Source organism: Homo sapiens, chromosome 18 (genome assembly GCF_000001405.40).
Source record: "Homo sapiens chromosome 18, GRCh38.p14 Primary Assembly".
NCBI classification, from domain to species: domain Eukaryota; kingdom Metazoa; phylum Chordata; class Mammalia; order Primates; family Hominidae; genus Homo; species Homo sapiens.
In genome coordinates this window covers 3,273,556-3,294,750 of record NC_000018.10, presented here as the reverse complement: position 1 = coordinate 3,294,750, position 21,195 = coordinate 3,273,556, and the positions used below count along the sequence as shown (strand labels likewise).

The following is a 21,195-nucleotide window of genomic DNA, read 5'->3' as shown; positions in this document are numbered from 1 at the left end:
TTGTGGAAAACGTAGTTCAGCTTAGCCAAGTCAATACATTACAAGGCCACCACACCACACTTAATAAAAAGTAAACATTTGTAAATCAATCAACCAGTGCCTGGAAGTACTTATTTAAGAGCCAAATTATTTCACAAAGTAAACTGAAACACACCTGGTGAATCCCACCCACCACTGGATACATATTTGCATTGCCACCCATTATTCCTTCCCTCTTCTCCTGTAAGAGAATACGATCTCCTACCAATTCTCCCTCCACCTTTTATTCTCTCTCAGTAATCATGCTTCATCAATTAACTTCTGTCTCTGGCTGTTCTTTATCTTCAGCTTCTTTTTTTTTAAGCTTCCCATGATTCTGTAAATCCCTATAGCAAATAACTTTTTTTTCTCTTTTCCATTACAGCCAAGTGTTGAGTACAAAAAGTCTATTTATGCTATCGTTACTTCTATAATGTGATTTTTCTGTAGTATTTGAGAATATTCAATTCTTCTGAAATTAACAAGAGAAACAAACAAGTAGAACAATAGGTGACACTCATAAAACATGTTGAGGAATGATAGCAAATGTACTAAGTTAGAAATCTTTTAGGTTAAACATAAATAGCATATACAGAACATATGTTTGGTAAGCATAGATTAAAAGAATGGAAATACCAAGTGTGCTACTTGTAGATAGGAAAGGATAGAAGGACCAAGTAAACCTAAAATATTAGTAAAATCACAGATCATGTATCCTCCTGAATGACAGCTATGTCATATTTAAATCAGCTGCTGAATCGTGACAGCTATTCTTGCCCCAGGTGACCTCTGTCCAAGATATGCAGATAAATCCACAGCTCCTCAGCACTTCATTGGTGAATTTCAGTTGTGCACAGGCTCCTTGTCCTCCATCTCTTTGAAAGAGGAAGCATGTGTTGGCTTCAGGCACCTTCAATTTGCTGAGTCTCCTTGCTCACCCTTGACTCTGGTCACTGCATCAGACCATGCCATCAGTAGGAAATTCTGATGTGTCTTTGTAGGTGAGAGAGATAGGATATGAACATTGTGTGACTCAGGATTTTTTTTGTATGGCTCTTACATCCAACTTGGATCCTATCCTTAGTGTGATAACTTATCTCAGTTTCCACTTGCTTCTTGCTTTGTGTTTAAAATTTACACATAGGCTGGACATGGTGGCTCAAACTTGTAATTCTAGCACTTTGGAAGGCTGAGGTGGGAGGACTGCTTGAGCCCAGGAGTTCAAGACCAGCCTGGGCAACATAGCGAGACCTTGTCTCTAAAACAAAAATAAAAACAAAAAATTAGCTGAGCATGCTAGTGTGTGCCTGTAGTCCTAGCTACTAGGGAGTTTGAGGTGGGAGGATTGCTTAAGCCCAGGAGGATGAGGCTGCAATGAGCCATGATGACACCACTGCACTCCAGCCTGGGTGACAGAGCAAGACCCTGTCTCAAAAAAGAAAAGAAAACATAAATAAACCTTGTGATTCCAGCGTCTTTGCAATTTTCTCTCACCCTGTCTCTTTTATGAACTCTAGAGCAGCCTGCCTGATAGTGTACTTGGAGGTAGCATGAACAACTTGTCCTGATTTGTAGCTTTTGCACGCAAATCCAGTATCCTAGAAACCCCCTCAGTTCTGTGCAAATGGGGACAATTGGTCACCCTACTTGGAAGTAATTATTACATCAAGTTCATTTCCCACTGAAGCAGTCCCCTTACCTCTCCTTTTCTTCTTCAATTATTGTAATCTGGTTTCTACTGACACAAATTGCTATGGGTTGAATGTGTTCTCCAAAGTTCATGTGTTGTAAACTTAATCCCCAATGCAAAAGTGTTGAGAGGTGGGACTTTTAAGAGGTAATTAGGTCATGAGAGCTCAGTCCTCATGAATGGATTAATGCCATTATTGTGGAAATGGATTTCTGATAAAAGGATAAGTTCAGCCCTCTTCCCATCTCTCTCTCACATGCTTTATTGCCCTTCTGCCTTCCATGATGGGATGATGCATCAAGAAGGCCCCCTTCAGATATAGGCCCTTCAATCTTGGACTCCCCAGCCTCCAGAACTGTAAGAAATAAATTTCTGTTCTTTATAAATTATCCAATCTCAGATATTCTGTTATAGCAGTACAAAATGAACTAAGACAGCATTCTACCAAAAATGTTTTCACTGGGAGCACCAGTTACTTCCATATTGTCAAAACAAATGGACACTTATTTGATTTCACTGAAGCAATTAACACTTTTGTCACATTTTCTTTCTTGAGATTCTTTTCTCTTAGGTTCTACGACATCTCTTGCATTACCTAGATGCTTTCTGGATTTAATGTGGACCAGTTGGATACCAAGCATCTGTAATTCAAAAAGTTCAAATAAGGGTTATAGGCCTTAAAGGGGAGGTAAATAGAGAGATCAGAATAGAAAGTTTATTCAAAGGAATAATAACAGAGAACTTCCCAAACCTAGAGAAGATATCAATATTCAAGTACAAGAAAGTTATAGAACACCAAGCAGATTTAATCCAAATAAGACTACCTCATGACATTTAATAATCAGACTTCCAAAGGTCAAGGACAAAGAAAGGATCCTAAAAGCAGCAAGAGAAAGAAACAAATAACATACAATGGAGCTCCAATACATCTGGCAGCAGACTTCTCAGTGGAAACCTTACAGGCCAAGAAGGAGTGGTGTGACATATTTAAAGTGCTAAAGAAAAAAACCTTTTATCCTAAAATGGTATGTCCAACAAAAATATACCTTAAACATGAAGGGGAAATAAAGACTCCTCCACTGTACCCCAGACAAAAAAAAAAGAGGCCAAGGGATTTCATCAATGCTAGACCTGTCTTACAAGGAATGCTAAAGGGAGTTTTTCAATCTGAAAGAAAGGGACGTTAATGAGCAATAGGAAATCATCTGAAGGTTCAAAACTCACTGGTAATAGTAAGAACACAGAAAACAACAGAATATTATAACACTGTAATTGTGGTGTGTAAACTAGTCATATCTTGAGTAGAAAGACTAAAAGATGAGCCTATCAAAAATAGCCACAACAACTTTTCAAGACATAGTACAATAAGACATAAATAGAAACAACAAAAAGTTAAAAAGTAGGGGATGGAGTTAAAGTGTAGAGTTTTTATTAGTTTTCTCTTTGCTTATTAGTTTGTTTATGCAATCACTATTATCAGCTTAAAATAATCAGTTATAAGACTAGTTATATATGCAGGCCTCATGGTAACCTCAAATAAAAAAACACACACAAAAAATGAAAAGCAGAAAATTAAAACATACCACCAGAGAAAATCACCTTTACTAAAAGAAAGACAGGAAGAAAGGAAAAAAGGAAGAGAAGACTATGAAATAACCAGAAGACAAACAACAAAATGGCAGAAATTCATTCTTAACATGGAATGTAAATGGACTAAATTCTCCAATCAAAAGATACCGAGTGGCTGAATATTAATAGATCTTAAAAAACAAAACCCAATGATCTGTTGCTTACAAGGAACACACTTCATATATAAAGTCGCACATGGACTGAAAATGAAGAGATGGAAAAAGATACTTTATGCAAATGGAAACCAGAAAAGAGCAGAGATAAAAAAAGAGATATTACAACTAATATTGCAGAAATTCAAAGGATCATTAGAGGTTACTATGAGAAACTCTCTGCCAATAAATTGGAAAACCTAGAAGAAATGGATAAATTCCTAGACACATAAAACCTACTGAGATTGAACCACGAAGAAATCCAACAGCTGAACAGACCAATAACAAGTGATGAGATCAAAGCCATAATAAAAAGTCTCCCAGTAAAGAAAAGCCTAGGACCTAATGGCTTCACTCGTGAATTTTACCAAACATTTAAAGAACTAATACCAGTCCTACTCAAACTATTCTGAAAAATAGGGGAGGAAATATCTCCAAACTCATTCTACAAGGCCATTATTACCCTGACAGCAAAACTAGACAAAGATACATCAAATAAAGAAAACCACAGGCCAATATCCCTGATGAATCTTGATGCAGAAATCCTCAAAATAATATTAACAAACCAAATTCAACAACACATTGAAACTTCATTCATCATGACCAAGTGGAATTTATCCCAGAGATGCAAGGATGGTTCAAAACATGCAGATCAATCAATATGATGCATCATATCAACAGAATAAAAACAAAAACCATACGATCCTTTCAACTGATGCAGAAAGGCATTTGACAAAATTCAACATCCCTTCATGATAAAACCCTAAAAAAAACTGGGTATAGAAGTAACATACCTCAAGATAATAAAAGCCATATATGACAGGCCCACAGCTAGTGTCATAGGCAATGAGGAAAAACTGAAAGCCTTTACTCTAAGATCTGAAACAAGACAAGGATGCCCACTTTCACCACTGTTATTCTACATAGTACTGGAAGTCCTAGCTAGAAAAATCAGATAAAACACAGAAATAAAGGGGATCCAAATTGGAAAGGAAGAGTTAAATTATCCTTGTTGGCAGATAATAGAATCCTATATTTGGAAAAACCTAAAGACTCTACCAAAAAACTATTAGAACTGATGAACAGCCAGACACAGTGGCTCCCACCTGTAATCCCAGCACTTTGGGAGGCCAAGGCAGGTGGATCACCTAAGGTCAGGGGTTTGAGACCAGCCTGGCCAACATGGTGAAACCCTGTCTCTACTAAAAATACAAAAATTAGCTGGCTGTGGTGGTGTGTGCCTGTAATCCCGCCTACTTGGGAGGCTGAGGCAGGAGAATTGCTTGAACCTGGGAGGTGGAGGCTGCAGTGAGCTGAGATCGTGCTACTGCACTCTAGCCTAGACGACAGAGTAAGACTCTGTCTCAAAAACAAAAAAAAGAAAAAAGAACTGATGAACAAATTCAGTGAAGTTGCAGGATACAAAATCAACATACAAAAATCAGTAGCATTTCTATATGTCAATATTGAACAATCTGAAAAAGAAATTAAGAAAGTAATCCCATTTATATCAGCTAAAAATAAAATAAAATATCTAGGAATGAACTTAACCAAAGAAGTGAAATGGGCATGGTGGCTCATCCCTATAATCCCAGCAATTTGAGAGAACAAGGTGGGAGGATCACTTGAGCCCAGGAGTTCAAGACCAGCCTGGATAACATAGCAAGACCTCATCTCTACTAAAAGTAAAAAAGTTAGCTGGGTGTGGTGGTGCATGCTTGTAGTCCCAGATACTCAGGAGGCCGAGTTAGAAGGATCACTTGAGCAAAGTAGTTTCAGATTGCAGTGAGCTATGATAATACTACTGCACTCCATACTTCAGCCTGGGCAACAGAGAGAGACCACCTTGTCTCAAAAAAAAAAAAAAAAAAAAAAAGGAAGAAGAAGTGAAAGAGCTCTACGATGAAAACTATCAAGCAATGATGCAAGAAGTTGAAGACACACAAAAAAATGGAAAGATATTTCATGTTCTCGGATTGGAAGAATCAATATTGTTAAAAATGTGCATACTACCCAAAGCAATCTACAGATTCAATGTAATCTCTATTAAAATACCAATGACGTTGTTCTCCAAAATAGAAAAAAAATCCTAAAATTTACGTGAAACCACAAAAGTACCAGAGTAGCCAAAGCTATCCTGAGCAAAAAGAATAAAACTTGAGGAATCACATTACCTGACTTCAAATTGTACTACAGAGCTATAGTAATCAAAACAGCACAGTAATGGCATGACAGACACATAGACCATGGAAAAGAATAGAGAATCCAGGCCAGGCACAGTGGCTCACACCTGTAATCCCAGCACTTTGGGAGGCCGAGGCAGGCAGACCACGAGGTTAGGGATTCGAGACCAGCCTGACCAACATGGTGAAATCCCGTCTCTACTAAAAAAAAAAAAATACAAAAATTAGCTGGGCGTGGTGGTGCACGCCTGTAATCCCAGCTACTCAGGAGGCTGAGGCAGGAGAATCGCTTGAACCTGGGAGGCAGAGGTTGCAGTGAGCCAAGATTGCGCCATTGCACTCCAGCCTGGCCTGGGCGACAGAGTGAGACTCCATCTCAAAAAAAAAAAAAAAAAGAATAGAGAATCCAGAAATAAATCCATGCATCTATAGTGAACTCGTTTTTGACAAAAGTGCCAGGAACACACATTGGGAAAAGGACTGTCTCTTCAATACATGGTCCTGGGAAAACTGGATATCCATATGCAGAAGAATGAAACTAGACTCTTATCTCTCACCGTATACAAAAATCAAATCAAGATGGAGTAAACACTTAAATTTAAGACCTCAAATTATGAAAACACTTTAAGAAAACATTGAGGAAACTCTACAGGACATTGGTCTGGGCAAAGATTTCTTGAGTAATGCTCCACAAGCACAGGCAACCAAAGCAAAAATACACAAATGGGATCACTTCAAGTTCAAAAGCTTCTGCACAGCAAAGGAAACAACAAAGTGAAGAGACAACCCACAGAATGGGAGAACGTATTTGCAAGCTATCCATTTAACAAGGGATTAATATCCAGAATATATAAGGAGCTCACACAACTCAATAGGAAAAAAATCTAATTATTCAATTTAAAAATGGACAAAATATCTGAATAGACATTTCTTTAAAGAATATATACAAGCCAGGTGCAGTGGCTCATGCCTGTAATCCCAGCACTTTGGGAGGCCGAGGTGAGGGGATCACTTGAGGTCAGGAGTTTGAGACTGGCCTGATCAACATGGTGAAGCCCCATCTCTACTAAAAACACAAAAGTTATCCAGGCATGGTGGCGCATGCCTGTAATCCCAGCTACTCGGGAGGCTAAGGAAGGAGAATTGCTTGAACCCAGGAGGCAGAGGTTGCAGTGAGCCGAGATCATGCCACTGCACTCCAGCCTGGGTGACGGAATGAGACTCTATCTCAGAAAAAACAAAAAAAAAAGATATACAAATAATCAACAGGTATATGAAAAGGTGCTCTACATCATTGATCAACAGAAATGCAAATCAAAACAGCAATGAGATATCAATCACCCAGCTAAAATGGCTTCTATCCAAAAGATAAGCAATAATGAATGCTGGAGAGGATATGGAGAAAAAGGAAACCTTGTACACTTTTGGTAGAAATGTGTGTTAGTACAACCACTATGGAGAAGAGTTTGGAGGCTCCTCAAAAGACTAAACATAGAATTACCACAAGATCCAGCAATCCCACTGCTAGGTATATGCCCAAAAGAAAGGGAATCAGTATATCCGAGAAATGTCTGACTCCCATGTTTATTGCAGCACTATTCACAATAGCCAAGATCTGAAAGCAACCTAACTGTCCATCAACAGATGAATGGATAAAGAAAATGTGGTATGTATACATGGTGGAGAACTATTCAGCCATAAAAAAGAAAAAAGAGTTCCTGTCATTTGCAACAACATGGATAGAACTGGAGATCATTATATTAAGTGAAATAAGCCAGGCACAGAAAGACAAACTTCACATGTTCTCACTCATTTGTGGGAGATAAAAATTAAAACAATTGAACTCATGGAGATAGAAGAAGGATGGTTACCAGAGGCTAGGAAGGGTAGTCGGAGGCAGGGGAAAGTGGGGATGGTTAACGGGTACAAAAATAAAGTTAGAGAGAATGAATAAGATCTAGTATTTGGTAGCGTAACAGGGTGACTACAGTCAATGATAATTTATTGTACATCTTTAAGTAGTTGAAAGAGTATAGTTGGAATGTTTGTAACACAAAGAAATGCTAAATGCTTGAGGTAATGGAAACCCCATTTACATGGATGTGATTATTATGCATTGCATGCCTGTATCAAAATATCTCATATATGCCATAAATATATTTGCCTACTGTGGACCCACAAAAATGAAAAATTAAAATTGAAAAAAAAAATGTTTAAAACTGAACTCGTCATTTTCTCCCCCAAAACTTTGTCCTGAACTCTCTATCTCTCTTGACTACACCTCCACCCACTCAGCTACTCCGTAAGCCTGAAAGTGAGTGATCCCAGACTCCTATCCATCCCCATATATGTGTTCCCTGTGTCTCCTTCAGGGCTCCTAGTATGCTCACCAGCAGCTGCAAGTGACCCACAAAATCAGGCCACTCTGGCATCTACTTGCACTTTCTCCCTTCACTCTCCATCCCACCTGGTCTGATCCTTTAGCTCCCTCCTCCTGGCGAAGTTGGATGCATTTGATACTGCCTTTGCACGAGTTCCCTAGGCCTTGATCTGACATAGGCTTGGATGTTGATATGGTTTGGCTCTGTGTCCCCACCCAAATCTCATGTCGAATTGTAATTCCTAGTGTTGGAGGAAAGGCCTGGTTGGGGTGGGTGTCCCCCTTGCCGTTCCTGTGATAGAGCTCTCACAAGATCTGGTCATTTGAAAGTATGTAGCACTTCCCCTTTCGCTCTTTCTCTTCCCTCCTCCCGCTCTCTCTCTTCCTCCTCCTCCCGCCATGTAAGACGTGCTGGCTTCCCCTTCAGCCATGATTGTAAGTTTCTTGAGGCCTCCCAGCCAAGCCTCCTGTACAGCCTGCAGATCTGTGAGTCAGTTAAACCTATTTCCTTTATAAATTACCCAGTCTCAAGTATGTCTTTGTAGCAGTGTAAGAACTGACTAATACAGATGCTGTCTGTCCATTTCTACTGATACCTTCAAGTAGACCTGCAGCGACATCCTGATCCCTGTCTTCCAGGGGAGGGAAAGCACGGTGTCACTCCTATCATTTCTGCAACTGCCCGCTTCTTCACCATCTCACTCCTTTTTGGCCGAAGTGCTGCAGGAGCTCCTTAACTAGTCTCCTACTTCTAATATTAGAATATAATATTTCCCACCCCCAATGTATTTTTTTCTACTGCTATTAGTGATCTTTGTTGTTGTTTTTTTCTGGGATTGGTTTTCACATTTGTATTGGGGGCCACAGGGAAGGGAGCTCTTCCCTGTCAATAGAGGAGCTCACAGATTCTTCAGTCACTCCTACTTCTTCAGAATCTTCTTCCAATTCATTCATTTTCTCAATCTCCACCACTCCAGCTCAGATCTTTCTAAGAATACGGGTGAACCAATGACAGGGCCAGGAAGGTGGCATCCAGGCCCAACCAACACAAACACCAAAGTTCTCACCATCTTTGCCGTAGCACTGCTATCAGGAGCCCCCGAACCCATGGTACTCAAGAGCCACTTGCTTACTTGGGAACATATGCTTGGCCCTTCAACATCTCTGTAGTAAAGTCATAAAGGAAAGATAACCCACTTTAACCTCCCTTCAAACTGAGGTGACAACTAGGATTTTATTCCCCTTATGCCAAGGAAGAAATTGCTTAATGGGACTACTTTGAGATTTTTCCTATGCTTGTAAAGAATATATCCTTTAGTTAAGATGATTATCATATGTTTTAGTTTTAATGGGAAATGCAAGTGCACATTCTAAAATTTTAAAAAGAAAGTGTTTACAATGTAATTAAGTTTTCCTCTCACCCCTGGCCCATGGCTACAAATTCCCACCACAACAGCAACTAGCTTCTGGTGTGTCTTTCCAGAGATGTTTGATTTATGGCTGCATGAACACACATGTGCACATATGCATGGAACACACATATTATATATAAATTGATTTCAAAATACAATACCTGGGCTCTATTTTTTTTGTTGTTTTTTGAGAGGGAGTTTCACTCTTGTTGCCCAGGCTGCAGTACAGTGGCGTGATCTCGGCTCACCGCAACCTCCGCCTCCCGGGTTCAAGTGATTCTCCTGCCTCAGCCTCCCGAGTAGCTGGGATTACAGGCATAGGCCACCATGCCCAGCTAATTTTGTATTTTTAGAAGAGACGGGGTTTCTCCACGTTGGTCAGGCGGTCTCGAACTCCCAACCTCAGGTGATCCGCCCGCCTCGGCCTCCCAGAGTGCTGGGATTAGAGGTGTGAGCCCCTGTGCCCGGCCTACCTGGGCTCTATTTTAAACCAAAGCCACAGATTTCCCTATCTGCTTGTCATTTCTGACCTCTGTGACACAAGCACAAAAGCTGGAACACATACTTGTCCCTGACTCACACTGCCCTGGCCTGGACAACCCCGACCTGCACCACAGGTCCTCACGGCCGGCCCATCCCACCCTCAATCTGTTATCAGTGTCTCTTTCACAGGTGAGGAGGTAGCTAATTTTGATACCTATGTCCAATTTAGCCCAGGTGCAAAGAAAGTAGGAGAGTGCCTTTGTATTTTCTAAATCAAACGCATCTTTTCAAATAAAAGAAAAATGTGCCACGGAAGAGTTTCAAAATCGAGGTCCGTTTTCACATATTCAGGTAAAGTAGCAAAGTGGTAGCAGTGACATGACAGATAGGTGCAACATATGAGGTCAAAAAGAAAAAAATCACAACAAAAATCATATGCATAAAAACACAGATATGCACTGAAAAGGTAAGCAAGAATCTAACCTTTTCCATCTCCATGATTATGCAGAGTAGAAAAGCTTATTTTTCATCTCTTTAAAATTACCTTGTCTGTTTCCTCTTGGCAATAACTTGGTCACATCCATCTGTCTTCTGTTTCACTTGATTTACTCAGGCCTGGCCAATGCTGCCAGCCTGACAATGAGCCCGGATTTGCACGGCCAGCCCGGATTTGCAGGTCTCTCCAGTGTGGCCGCTGTGGACTGGCAGTGGGCTCTCCTCCGCCCCTCCCCTCCACAGGGCAGGATGGGCTTGCTTCCCATCTGCCAGGCAACTCAGGGTCCGCAGCTCTGCATGGCAAGCCCATCAGATAAAGAGGGATTCCTGCTCTTGTTTGGTGGGTGTTCTATGACGAGGTTGGGGTTTTGTCTTTTAACAGGGAAAGAAATAGCCAGACTCACAAACAAGGGAGGGGCAAGGTTATATAAATGTGATATTGTTCAAGGAGTGTGCTGTGAAGATCCCCTAGCTACCTTAGACTGGGAACTAAGACCAGATTTGGAGCAAGGAGAGAGGCCCACCCCAGAGAGACACAAGCCTTTTTTGCTTGGGAAGAGTTTCTCAGCACCACTGATTAAAATTTGCCGTTATGAATGGCAAATGTTCTAGGGTTGCTGAGTTTATTCCCATGAATGCGGGCCTTGTTTCCTGCTCGCTTCTCTGTTTACAGATCCTTGTCTTTTCCTGTTGACATCCTTGGTGTTTTCATACCCACGGGGAAGAGGAGAAGAGCAGCGCAGAACTCAAGGGCAATTCCAAAACAAAAGGAAAAGCTCTGGAGTTGGGTGGGGCAGACAGATCCCACTGCCTGATAAACGGGGTGAGACCACAGTGGCTAAGAAGAAGCCTGGATTAAGAGGCTAGATCTGGAGGCTTTGGGGCCTTAGTCTTCCGATCTGAGAAGTGGGAGCATATCTCTCAAGATGCCTTTCAGCAAGTGGTCCCTGCTCCCAAATGTTTATCATCTGGCAGCGATGAAACGCAGGTCATCTACTGAATTTCGTTAGCTTGTCTGTAAAATAATCAGGAAATCCTGGATATTTTCAATATAAAACTCTTCAAATTGAGGTTTTTCTATTTCGTGCTTGCTTGAGTTCTCAGCTATGCGATTGGCTGGTATGAAGGCGATCAGCGGTAGCACTGAGAGAACAAACATCACTGTCAGGGCAAGCATTTCTCAAAGCTCTCTTTGACCTCTTCAGTGAGCAGTTAGACACCCGTCGCAGCTCCTGAACAGCTGTTTGGCACCCTGGTAACAGATAAGAACTCACATTCGTTACGTGCTTCCAAAGTGCTGGGCATTAAAACACTCCCAGAGAGTAGGGTCCTAGTTTCGCTATCACCCTCGGCTCTCAGATGTAATGTACACTTCAGTAAGTAAGAACTGAATAAATAGATTGAATAAAAGATTACTTGAGAAAAAGTACAGTAAGCACAACCTCCCAAATGAGCCAACCTCAATTTACACTCGGATTATTAAAAAATGCGAGTAGACGAAGGTCCTCAGATTGGTTTTCGCTGTGCTAGTTACCAGTGTCCACGAGGAAATATGAATCATCATCAAGTTCATTAAGAATGACTGTCTGAAAGGAAGCCTGTGTCCTGGCAATACAATCAACTGCAGTTAAGTGCGGCTGGTAAAAGATTAGGCTGGTCTCCTGTGAGACGTGTTAGAACAGTGTTTTATATTTAAACACCCCCATTCATACGCATCTCACAAAATACTTTTCGTACCTTTTGAGACCAGCCTGGCCAACATGGCAAAACCCTGTCTCTACTAAAAATACAAAAATTAGCTGGGCGTGGTGGCAGGCGCCTGTAGTCCCAGCTACTTGGGAGGCTGAGGCGGGAGAATCTCTTGAACCTGGGAGGTGGAGGTTGCAGTGAGCCGAGATCACGCCATTGCACTCCAGCCTGGGTGACAGAGCAAGACTCCATCTCAAAGAAAAAAAAAATAGAAGCTGTCTCATAGTCATTTGTGCTAGACCTGTTTTTCATCAGCTTAGGTGCCTTATTAGAGTATATTATCTAGAACTATAATAGATACAGTTCTCAACATTCCTGAGGTGGTAATAATAGCATTCCTATATAAAGCATAATTTTACAGAGTATTTTCATACATAACCACTAGCTCTGTGCTTTAGCCTTCTCATCTCTAAAATTGAAGTGATGGTAACAAGAACGACTTGTTCAAGTCAGTAAGTGGAGGAAGTCTGGTCTTTTCAGTGCAAAGCCTATGATCTCATGTTCAACAAAGGTCATTATTTCGGTGTAAAAGCCACTGGAGCCAAGCTGAGATTCTGGCACTTTCCAAGCACTCAATAAATACTTGTAAATTAATGAAGGAAGGAGGAAGGAAGGAAGGAAGGAAGGAAGGAAGGAAGGAAGGAAGGAAAAAAGAGGGGAGGGGAAGGGGAAGGAAAAGGCAAAAGGGGTGGAGAAGGGGAAGGGAATTTGCCATTGATATTTGTAAAAAGGAGTCCTAGAGATTATTCCCTACATTTGGGGCTCATGAAATAGTATGAATTTAATTGTAAGACTTTTCATCAATTATTTAAGAAACAACTTTGAGAAAGTCACAGCATTACTGACAATAATGCTGTCTAGATACTCATGATTTGGCTGCTTTATCTCAAATTCATTAGGGAATGGGTTAAGACAGTACTATATTAAGAACAATAGTGCCACCTAGTGACACTTCTAGTTATTGTCTCTAAAATTGCCTATGACAACCATTCTAAAAAAAAAAGATCCACTTAAGAGACTGTGTGATATGTGCAATCCATCATCTTCATCATTTTTCTATACAAGAAACCTTTTCTTGAAATTTTAGTATGTGATAAATCTTTACATCCTCATTCAGATTTCCCAGATGATGTTTCTAAGGGATCTTTTTATACCCGATTTTTCAGTAGTTTATGTTTCTATTTCAAAAACTGTGTTTCTTATAATTTAAGAAATATAAATTTATTTTATATTTCTGTTTCTTATATTTTAACACATATCAATTTTGAGATGCAAATCAGTATAATTGCTGCTCGTAGGATAGACAGTATTAAATATATACATTGTGAGACATTCTGATCAGGCTACAGGTACTAATTATGTAATTAGGAAATTATAGGTTTAATGAGAAGCACCCATCTCGGTCAAAAAGGTTAGAAGCTCGACATTTCTCTAGCTTCTTTAGTTATACAAAGTTGAGCAGGTCAGGTAACTTCAGTAATCTCATCTGTGAAATGGGATGACAATTCCTACTTTATCCACTTCCTAGCGTTCTGAGGATCAAGCACAATTCACAAACGCTTGTAAAACTGGCTCATGACCATAAGAAACTATCGACGGTGTTTCCATAATCACTTTCTTGGGAGGAGCACAACTGCCTGCGCTCAGGTGACTGCCCCACTGCTTATTCCCTGTGTAACTTTGGGAAGTTACTTCCTTGCCCCCTGACATTTCATTTGTAGAACAGGGATAACAATACCTACCTCAGGCCGGCCGCGGTGGCTCATGCCTGTAATCCCAGCACTTTGGGAGGCTGAGGCGGGCGGATCACTTGAGGCCAGGAGTTTGAGTCCAGCTTGGCCAACATAGTGAAACCCCATCTCTACTAAAAATACGAAAATTAGCCAGGTGTGGTGGTGCACACCTGTAATTCCAACTACTTGGGAGGCCGAGGCACGAGAATCGCTTGATTGAACCTGCAAGTGGAGGTTGCAGTGAGCCAAGACTGTGCCACTGTACTTCAGCCTGAGTGACTCTGTCTCAAAAAAAAAAAACAAAAAAAACCCAAAAAGACCTACCTCAAAGGGCAGTTGTGTAACGTGCTTCGTACATAGTGAATACTCAGTGCATTTTCACTATGTGACCACACACACACACTCACTGCAGTGGCCACAGAATCAACCATCAACTTAGGAGATTGTCACTATGTGGTTCTCAAAAGGAGATATTAAGTAGACAAAGTTTTCATCGTCATCATTAATAATATTTACTGGACACCAAAAAGAAACAAAGTCTTGGCCCAGGTGTCTTCCACTACTGGATTCCACAACACTCTTCACAAATAATACAGATGAAACAGAACAGTGTGTCAGGTAAACGTAAGGCAGTCGAGAAACAACTAAGTTTTTTTGTTTTTAATCTTCAAAACTTTTCTCTCAATTTTTCAAATCTGGCTTTAAGCAGATCAATAAAATAAGCACAGTTACGATTATGCCAGAGATGGAAACAAGGCTGAGCTGGAGGGGAGGAAACAGATAGGACCCGGAGAGGCGTTTTATAGCTATCTCCCCTGGACCTGAGTCCATGCTGCCCCCTCTTGCCTGGACGACGGCAACAGCCTCCATACCGGCCTTCTTGCTTCTCTTCGTGCCCCTCCATTCAAGACACAGCACCAACACTGATTTTAAAAATATAAATCACCTTTCTTCCCTGCATTTCACATTAGGACTCTGCTCCAAATACCCTCCCTGGACCCGTATCATCCATGTGCTCTCCCGATGCTCCTACCACACGACAGCCTCGCCCTGATCCTCACATGGGTCCGGACCTCCTTCCTGTCATTCAGATCTCAGCTTACCACCCAGAGGCCTTTCCTGACCACCCTGTCATGCATGCCCAGTTCTCTGCACAGCACTTAACCTGAAATTGCACATGGATTGTCTGCCAGCAGAGAATGCAGTCCCACGAGGGCAGCATCCTTGTCTGTCCCACCCCCCAGTTATCCCCAACCCTTACAACAGTGTAGGGTACATAACAGGTGGTTGACAATGGTTCAATAATCATCAAGATTATCCCACCGTATTTTTCTGTTTCCTGTGAAACACACAATTCTCCACCTGGTTTTGTGACACATTGTGGTGAGTTTAAGCTTCTAAGTGGAAAAAAGAGCCAGATGTAGATTCTTATATTTGTTAGATCTTGGGCAGGAGCTTCAGTCTAAACTTCAGGTCTATTAATAAAAAGTAGAACTGATACCTCAGAGACTAAGAGGATTGGGTGATAAATGTGACAGTTCATATGAGCTGCTCCCTCATTCTAATGATAAAAGGAAGCCCAGGCAAATTGTTAGCAAGTGAATACAGACCAGCCTACTGCCCCAAGTTGTAAAGCACCAATATTAAACAACATATAAATGCTTTGGTGTTAAGCAGACAAAATACCATCACAATACTTTTAAGAGGGGAAATCGGTATTGAACAACGTTGGGTAATTTTTTAAAACGGATTTTTTCCTTTTTTAGATTGTTCTCTTTATTCTCGTATTGCTTGGCCTTGAGGATTCTGAGCTCACAGCAACCTTGTCTTTCGGCTCTTTTCTAGTCTATATATTACATGAAGTGCCTTCAAACACACAATAGTATTGTTTATTTTAACCTGGAATAGAATTTTCTGAAATTCTGTTCCAATCATCAATTACCCCAAGATTATTTTAAATTTCAATAATGACCACAGAATTGTATCATAATAGAACAGAAATGTCTTGACTCTTTTAGACATTTGGGGCTTTTCAGAGACAGTATCGTGGTTCCAGCACTGTGAGCTCTGAAGTTAGGTGCCCTAGGTTGGAATTCCAACTCATGTCCTAATAGTTACCCTAATCAACTGCTCAAGTATGCTAGGTCCTCCCACTTGAAATACAGGGCTAATAAAAATCCCACAAGGTTGTTGGGAAGATTCAAGAAAAATTGTGTAGGCACAACGCTCCACATATAGTAAATGTACAATAACTAATCTTCGGAATTTTGCCTCTTCTCAGAATCTTAGATGAACGCAATGTTTAATGTTTTCCCAGATACATTCTATATTTATCATTTAATAAACATCTGACTAGAAGCGTGAAAAACAATGGCATAACTAGTTTTTACTGCATAATAATGTTAAAGGGTACTTAAAAGTTCTGAAGAACACTGTCCCATATATGTGAAAAATCAATTTTACCATAAAACCTGAATCATATGAAGTTGAAAACCTGAAAAAAGGACTACCCCCACCTATCAATCATTTGTTTAACTTGCCATTACATTGCATTTGAGTCAGCATAATCTTTATTTCAAAATAACATTTTTATTATATAAAAATGTAAAAATCCAGCAAAACCAGAAATACGAATATATTTTTCTGGGCTTTCACATTTGTTGATTTTTATTCGCGATCTTTTTCAATACAATTTACACCCTCATCCCCATTTCCAGTCTGATTATACAAGTGCTAAGTGGCAGAAAGGTCTGGAATAAATACATCAAAAAGAAGAGGCAAAGCTGTGAAACTAAGTTGCATGCAACAGGTTCTATGAGGGTGGGGGAAGTGTCTGAGAAGTAAAAGAGAGTAAGACAATGTAACTGGAAGATTTTAGCTAAAGTTCTTTCAGTCATCTTTGTCTTTGGCTCCATGTTTCAGGATGCGTGTGAACTCGATGTAATTGAAATTCCCCTTTTTGTCAATAGGTGCTTCTCTGTACAGCTCATCCACTTCCTCATCTGTAAACCGATCCCCCATGGTTGTCAGCAGCTCTCTTAGGTAATCTTCCTGAATGGTGCCTGGAAGACAATAGAAAGAAGAAAGCAGTCATCAATACTTCCTGGCACTTTGATGGTTCATTCCTAAAGCTTGTCAATCGTATAAAATATTTCAGAATATCCATATCTATAAACAAAGTAAGTTAGTGAACTAAGGCTATATGAACTATATCATTATGTTTTCCAATTATTCTTAGAGTTCTGTGTTAATATTAGATCAAATCATTTAAAAGCTCAGAAACAGATCATATGCTTACAAAATTATTCTTAAGCAAATATTTTCTAAAGGTAAAAAAAGAAAACCCCTTCTATTTCACAGAAGTACTTTATATAGTGTGGAATGAGGCTGGGCATAAACAAATAGCACTCACCTGTTGCTTCTTCATCAAAGCAAGCAAAGGCGTTTCTGATGACATCTTCAGGATCTGTGCCATTTAACTTCTCACCAAACATGGTCAGGAACATGGTGAAATTGATGGGCCCTGGGGCCTCATTCATCATGGCATCAAGGTATGCATCAGTGGGATTCTTCCCTGTAAGAATACACATTTTAACATTTAAAGACAAAAACATTTAATTTCAATAGTTATTTCACTATTATTATGCTCCCCAACATATTTTTAAAATGTACATCATTTGAAACTAATTTTTCAATTAACTTTAAGAACATTTTAAAAAGATTATTTTTGACAACTTAAAAAATATTGGATACATCATTATAAAAATGTATTCCAGGCTTATATTGAAGGTTATTTATTCGTTTATGTGAACTTTCTGTTCATTATTTTTCATTAAAAACAAAACAAAAACCTGAAGCCAGGCAGTGCCACATTATTACATCTTAATTTTTTTTTTTTTTTTTTTTTGGACTATAGGCATGTGCCACCATGCCCTGCTAATTTTTTGTTTTTTGTAAAGACTGGGTTTCACTATGTTGCCCAGGCTGGTCTTGAACTCCTGAGCTCAAGTGATCCACCTGCCTTGGCCTCCCAAAGTGATGGGATTGCAGGCGTGCATCACCGCGCCCGGCCTACATCCTGAATGTTGATAACATCAATGGTCCATCGGGGAGTCAGTTCAATACCAGTCATACAAAAAAATCTAAATATTCACACTTCCAGTTGTGGTACAGATGCCCATAAGTTGATATGCTTCAAAGTTGTATTTATAAGTTGGCCATTTAAGTTTAAACTATTAGCATGGTTTTGAATTGGCAGCTTATTTTGAACAATGTTAGATATCTTCAAACACTGTTTACACATGTCATTGAACTGTGGTCTTCTTTGGTATTGTTTGTAATGGGAAATCTTAATCTCCATTCCAAGTGTGAACACTTCTTTTAGTGCAGTGGTGAGGGAACTCCCCTGACCTTTCCCTAGGAGCTGAAAGAAATCTCCCTGGAATGGCCAGACATGGTGGGAGTGTTTTTGAGGCCCCGTGGTGTGGGAAAAGCAGCACTGAACCAAGGATCTGGAATACTGGGTTTGAATCCCAGTTCTACCACTGGTTGTGTGATATAGGAGGAAGTGGCAGAACTGGCATTCAAACCCAGTATTCCAGATCCTTCGTTCAGTGCTGCCTTATGTAGAATTTACTTCTTTTTTTAAAAAAGTCTAACATTGACTGGTTAAAGTTGGTATCTCAAAGGTATCTTCCAACATTAAGTTTATATGATTTTACATGAAAAGAACATCTATTAGTCAGATATTCATATCTAAGGAACCATCTCAAAATTATACCCAACTAAGTCAAAGCTAGAATGACAATCAAAGCTACCATTATAGTTCATATGTAAGTTTTAATTCTGGGAATTTGGGTGAAATGTAAACATCATGTTGGCATCTATTTCACTGCATTGCAGTCCTACCTGATTACACTTACTCAATGTTCCAATATCAAAATTAGCCCAAAATTAAACTCAAGATTCACTGAATAAGTTAAAGTAGCTAAAAAGATCTACTTTTCTACCTCCAGATTTAACCCAACTCACTTGCAGCATTTTTTGGGGGGAAGAAAAACTGTAACCAAAAGGTGTGAAGAGAACGCTAGGGTACAAAAAGTTACAGGGATTTAAAATGAATTGGTTTAGGCTAAGCACTTATGGACCCGCTCAAGACATCCAATGTAATCTGTTGATTTGAAAGGTAAATACGTATCTTTTAAAAATTCATATTTATTTAAATTGCTTTGGGTACACAAGAGGTGTATATATTTATGGGGTACATGAGATACTTTGATACAGGCATATAATGCAAAATAATCACATCAAGGTAAATGGCATAGCCATCCCTTCAAGCATTTATCATTTCTTTGTGTTACCAACATTCCAACTATACTGAGTTATTTTAAAATGTACAACAAATTACTGCTGACTGCAGTCACCTTGTTATTCTATCCAATACTAGATCTTATTCATTCTATCTATACTTTTGTATCTATTAACAGTTCCCACTCTTCTCCCTGCCCTTCCCAGTCTCTGATAACCATCCTTCTACTTTCCATCTCCATGAGTTCAATTATTTTAACTTTTAGCTCCCACAAGTGTGTGAGAACATGTGAAGTTTGTCTTTCTGTGCCTGGCTTATTTCACTTAACATAATGTCTTCCATTCCATCCATGTTGCTGCAATGACAGGATCTCATTTTTTATGGTCGAACAGTATTCCATTGTACATAAGTACCACATTTTTAAAATCCGTTCATCTGGTGACGGACACTTACGGTGTTTTCAAATCATGGCTGCTGTGAATAGTGCTGGAATAAACATGGGAGTGCAGATACCTCTTCAATGATACTACTGATTTCCTTTTTTGGGGGTATATACCTAGCAGTGGGATTGCTGGATCATATGGGAGAGCTCCTATTTTTAGTTCTCTGAGGAACCTCCATAATGTCCTTCACAGTGGCTGTACTTATTTACATTCCTACCAATAATGTATGAAGGTTCCCCTAAAAGGTAAATACATATGTTAAAGCAAACTAAATATGGCCTGAGAAAGACTCCGTACTTCTACAGTTGAGTCCTTGTGAATGAATTATAACCTAGCTTAATAGTCAGACAAGACTGAAAACCTAACTTAGGAGTATGAGCCTGTAACAACTGCTAAGCCTTGGCCAATCTCAGCAGCCATACTTCAACCATTCATACACTGCTGAGTGTTCAAACCATGTTCAAATAAGGCATATGCCGAGCTGTAATCAATCAAGCCATTCCATACCTCACTTCCAATTCCTGTACGTCATTTCCCTTTTTTTGTCTATAAATCTTCTTCTACCACGTGGCTGCACTGGAGTCTCTGTGAATCTGCTGTGATTCTGGGGTTACCTGATTCGCAAATTGTTCATTGCTCAATTAAACTCCATTAAATTTAATTAGGCTGAAATTGTTCTTTTAACACGTATCTTTAAAAGGATGGGTTTCTGCAAAACAGAAGGTCTCAAAGACAACCTCTGACTCTACCATGACTTGTTCGTTCAACAAATATCTATTGAGCATCTATTATAAGCAGAGTATAGACTTGAGAGTTCAATCTTTGGAAGATGGCTACATTCCTCAATTTTCCTCAGAGGCCTTCTTCAGTACTGACTTGCCCAAGAACATACTCAGACATTCTGAATGTGAGAAACACTAGGTTATAATCTAACTACAAGTCAACAAATCAGATAAAAATCTTTGATTCTACTCTCACCCTAGATAAAGAAAAGTTACAAAATGTTAACAATCAGTGAATATAGCTAAAGATGTATAGGTGTTCACTATAATGTTCTTTCCACTTTTTGTAGGCTTAAAAGTTTTCAAAATCATATGTTGGATAGGAATAAGTACACACCTAAACTTTACTTTCAATGTGTTAGGAGAAATAATCAAAATCAAAAGTTAGAAGAATAAAAGCTAGCTGATCATTTTGTAGGCATTAAAAGAGAGAAAAAAAAAACCCCCACCTCTTTCTTTGCCTTTTTGGCCAGTCAGCCAAGCAGGAGGACAGAGCGCAAAGTCTCACTGTAGGCCATCCCTGACCCACTCCCAGCCTGCCTCACCCCCTCCGCTTTGGCCTATCAAGGTCTCCTTTGCCTGCAGTTCCTTGACTCCCAACTGTAAATTAACTGCTGACTCTGGCCAGAACATGTAGGATGCATGTTAAGAAACAATAACAAAATCATACAAGGAATATTAACACCCATATACCAACATACAAATGGCTGTTTATGTGTGCTTTAAATCCTGTATCTT

The 21,195-nt window shown here is 39.7% G+C and overlaps 1 protein-coding gene across 3 annotated transcripts in view; it reads right to left on the bottom strand.

Annotated features, from left to right (window-relative positions):
- MYL12B (myosin light chain 12B) overlaps positions 16,290-21,195 on the bottom strand; it is a 16,329-nt gene continuing 11,423 nt past the window's right edge. For 2 of the 3 annotated variants that reach the window (NM_001144944.1, NM_001144945.1), the window contains exons 3-4: positions 17,337-17,498; positions 16,467-16,986 (exon numbers count right to left, since the gene is read on the bottom strand). In NM_001144944.1, the coding sequence (NP_001138416.1) occupies positions 16,814-16,986; positions 17,337-17,498 (335 nt within the window). In that variant the 3' untranslated portion in view covers positions 16,467-16,813. Of the gene's footprint in view, positions 16,987-17,336; positions 17,499-21,195 lie in introns of all 3 variants that reach the window. The other variant, NM_033546.4, reaches the window with a different exon arrangement.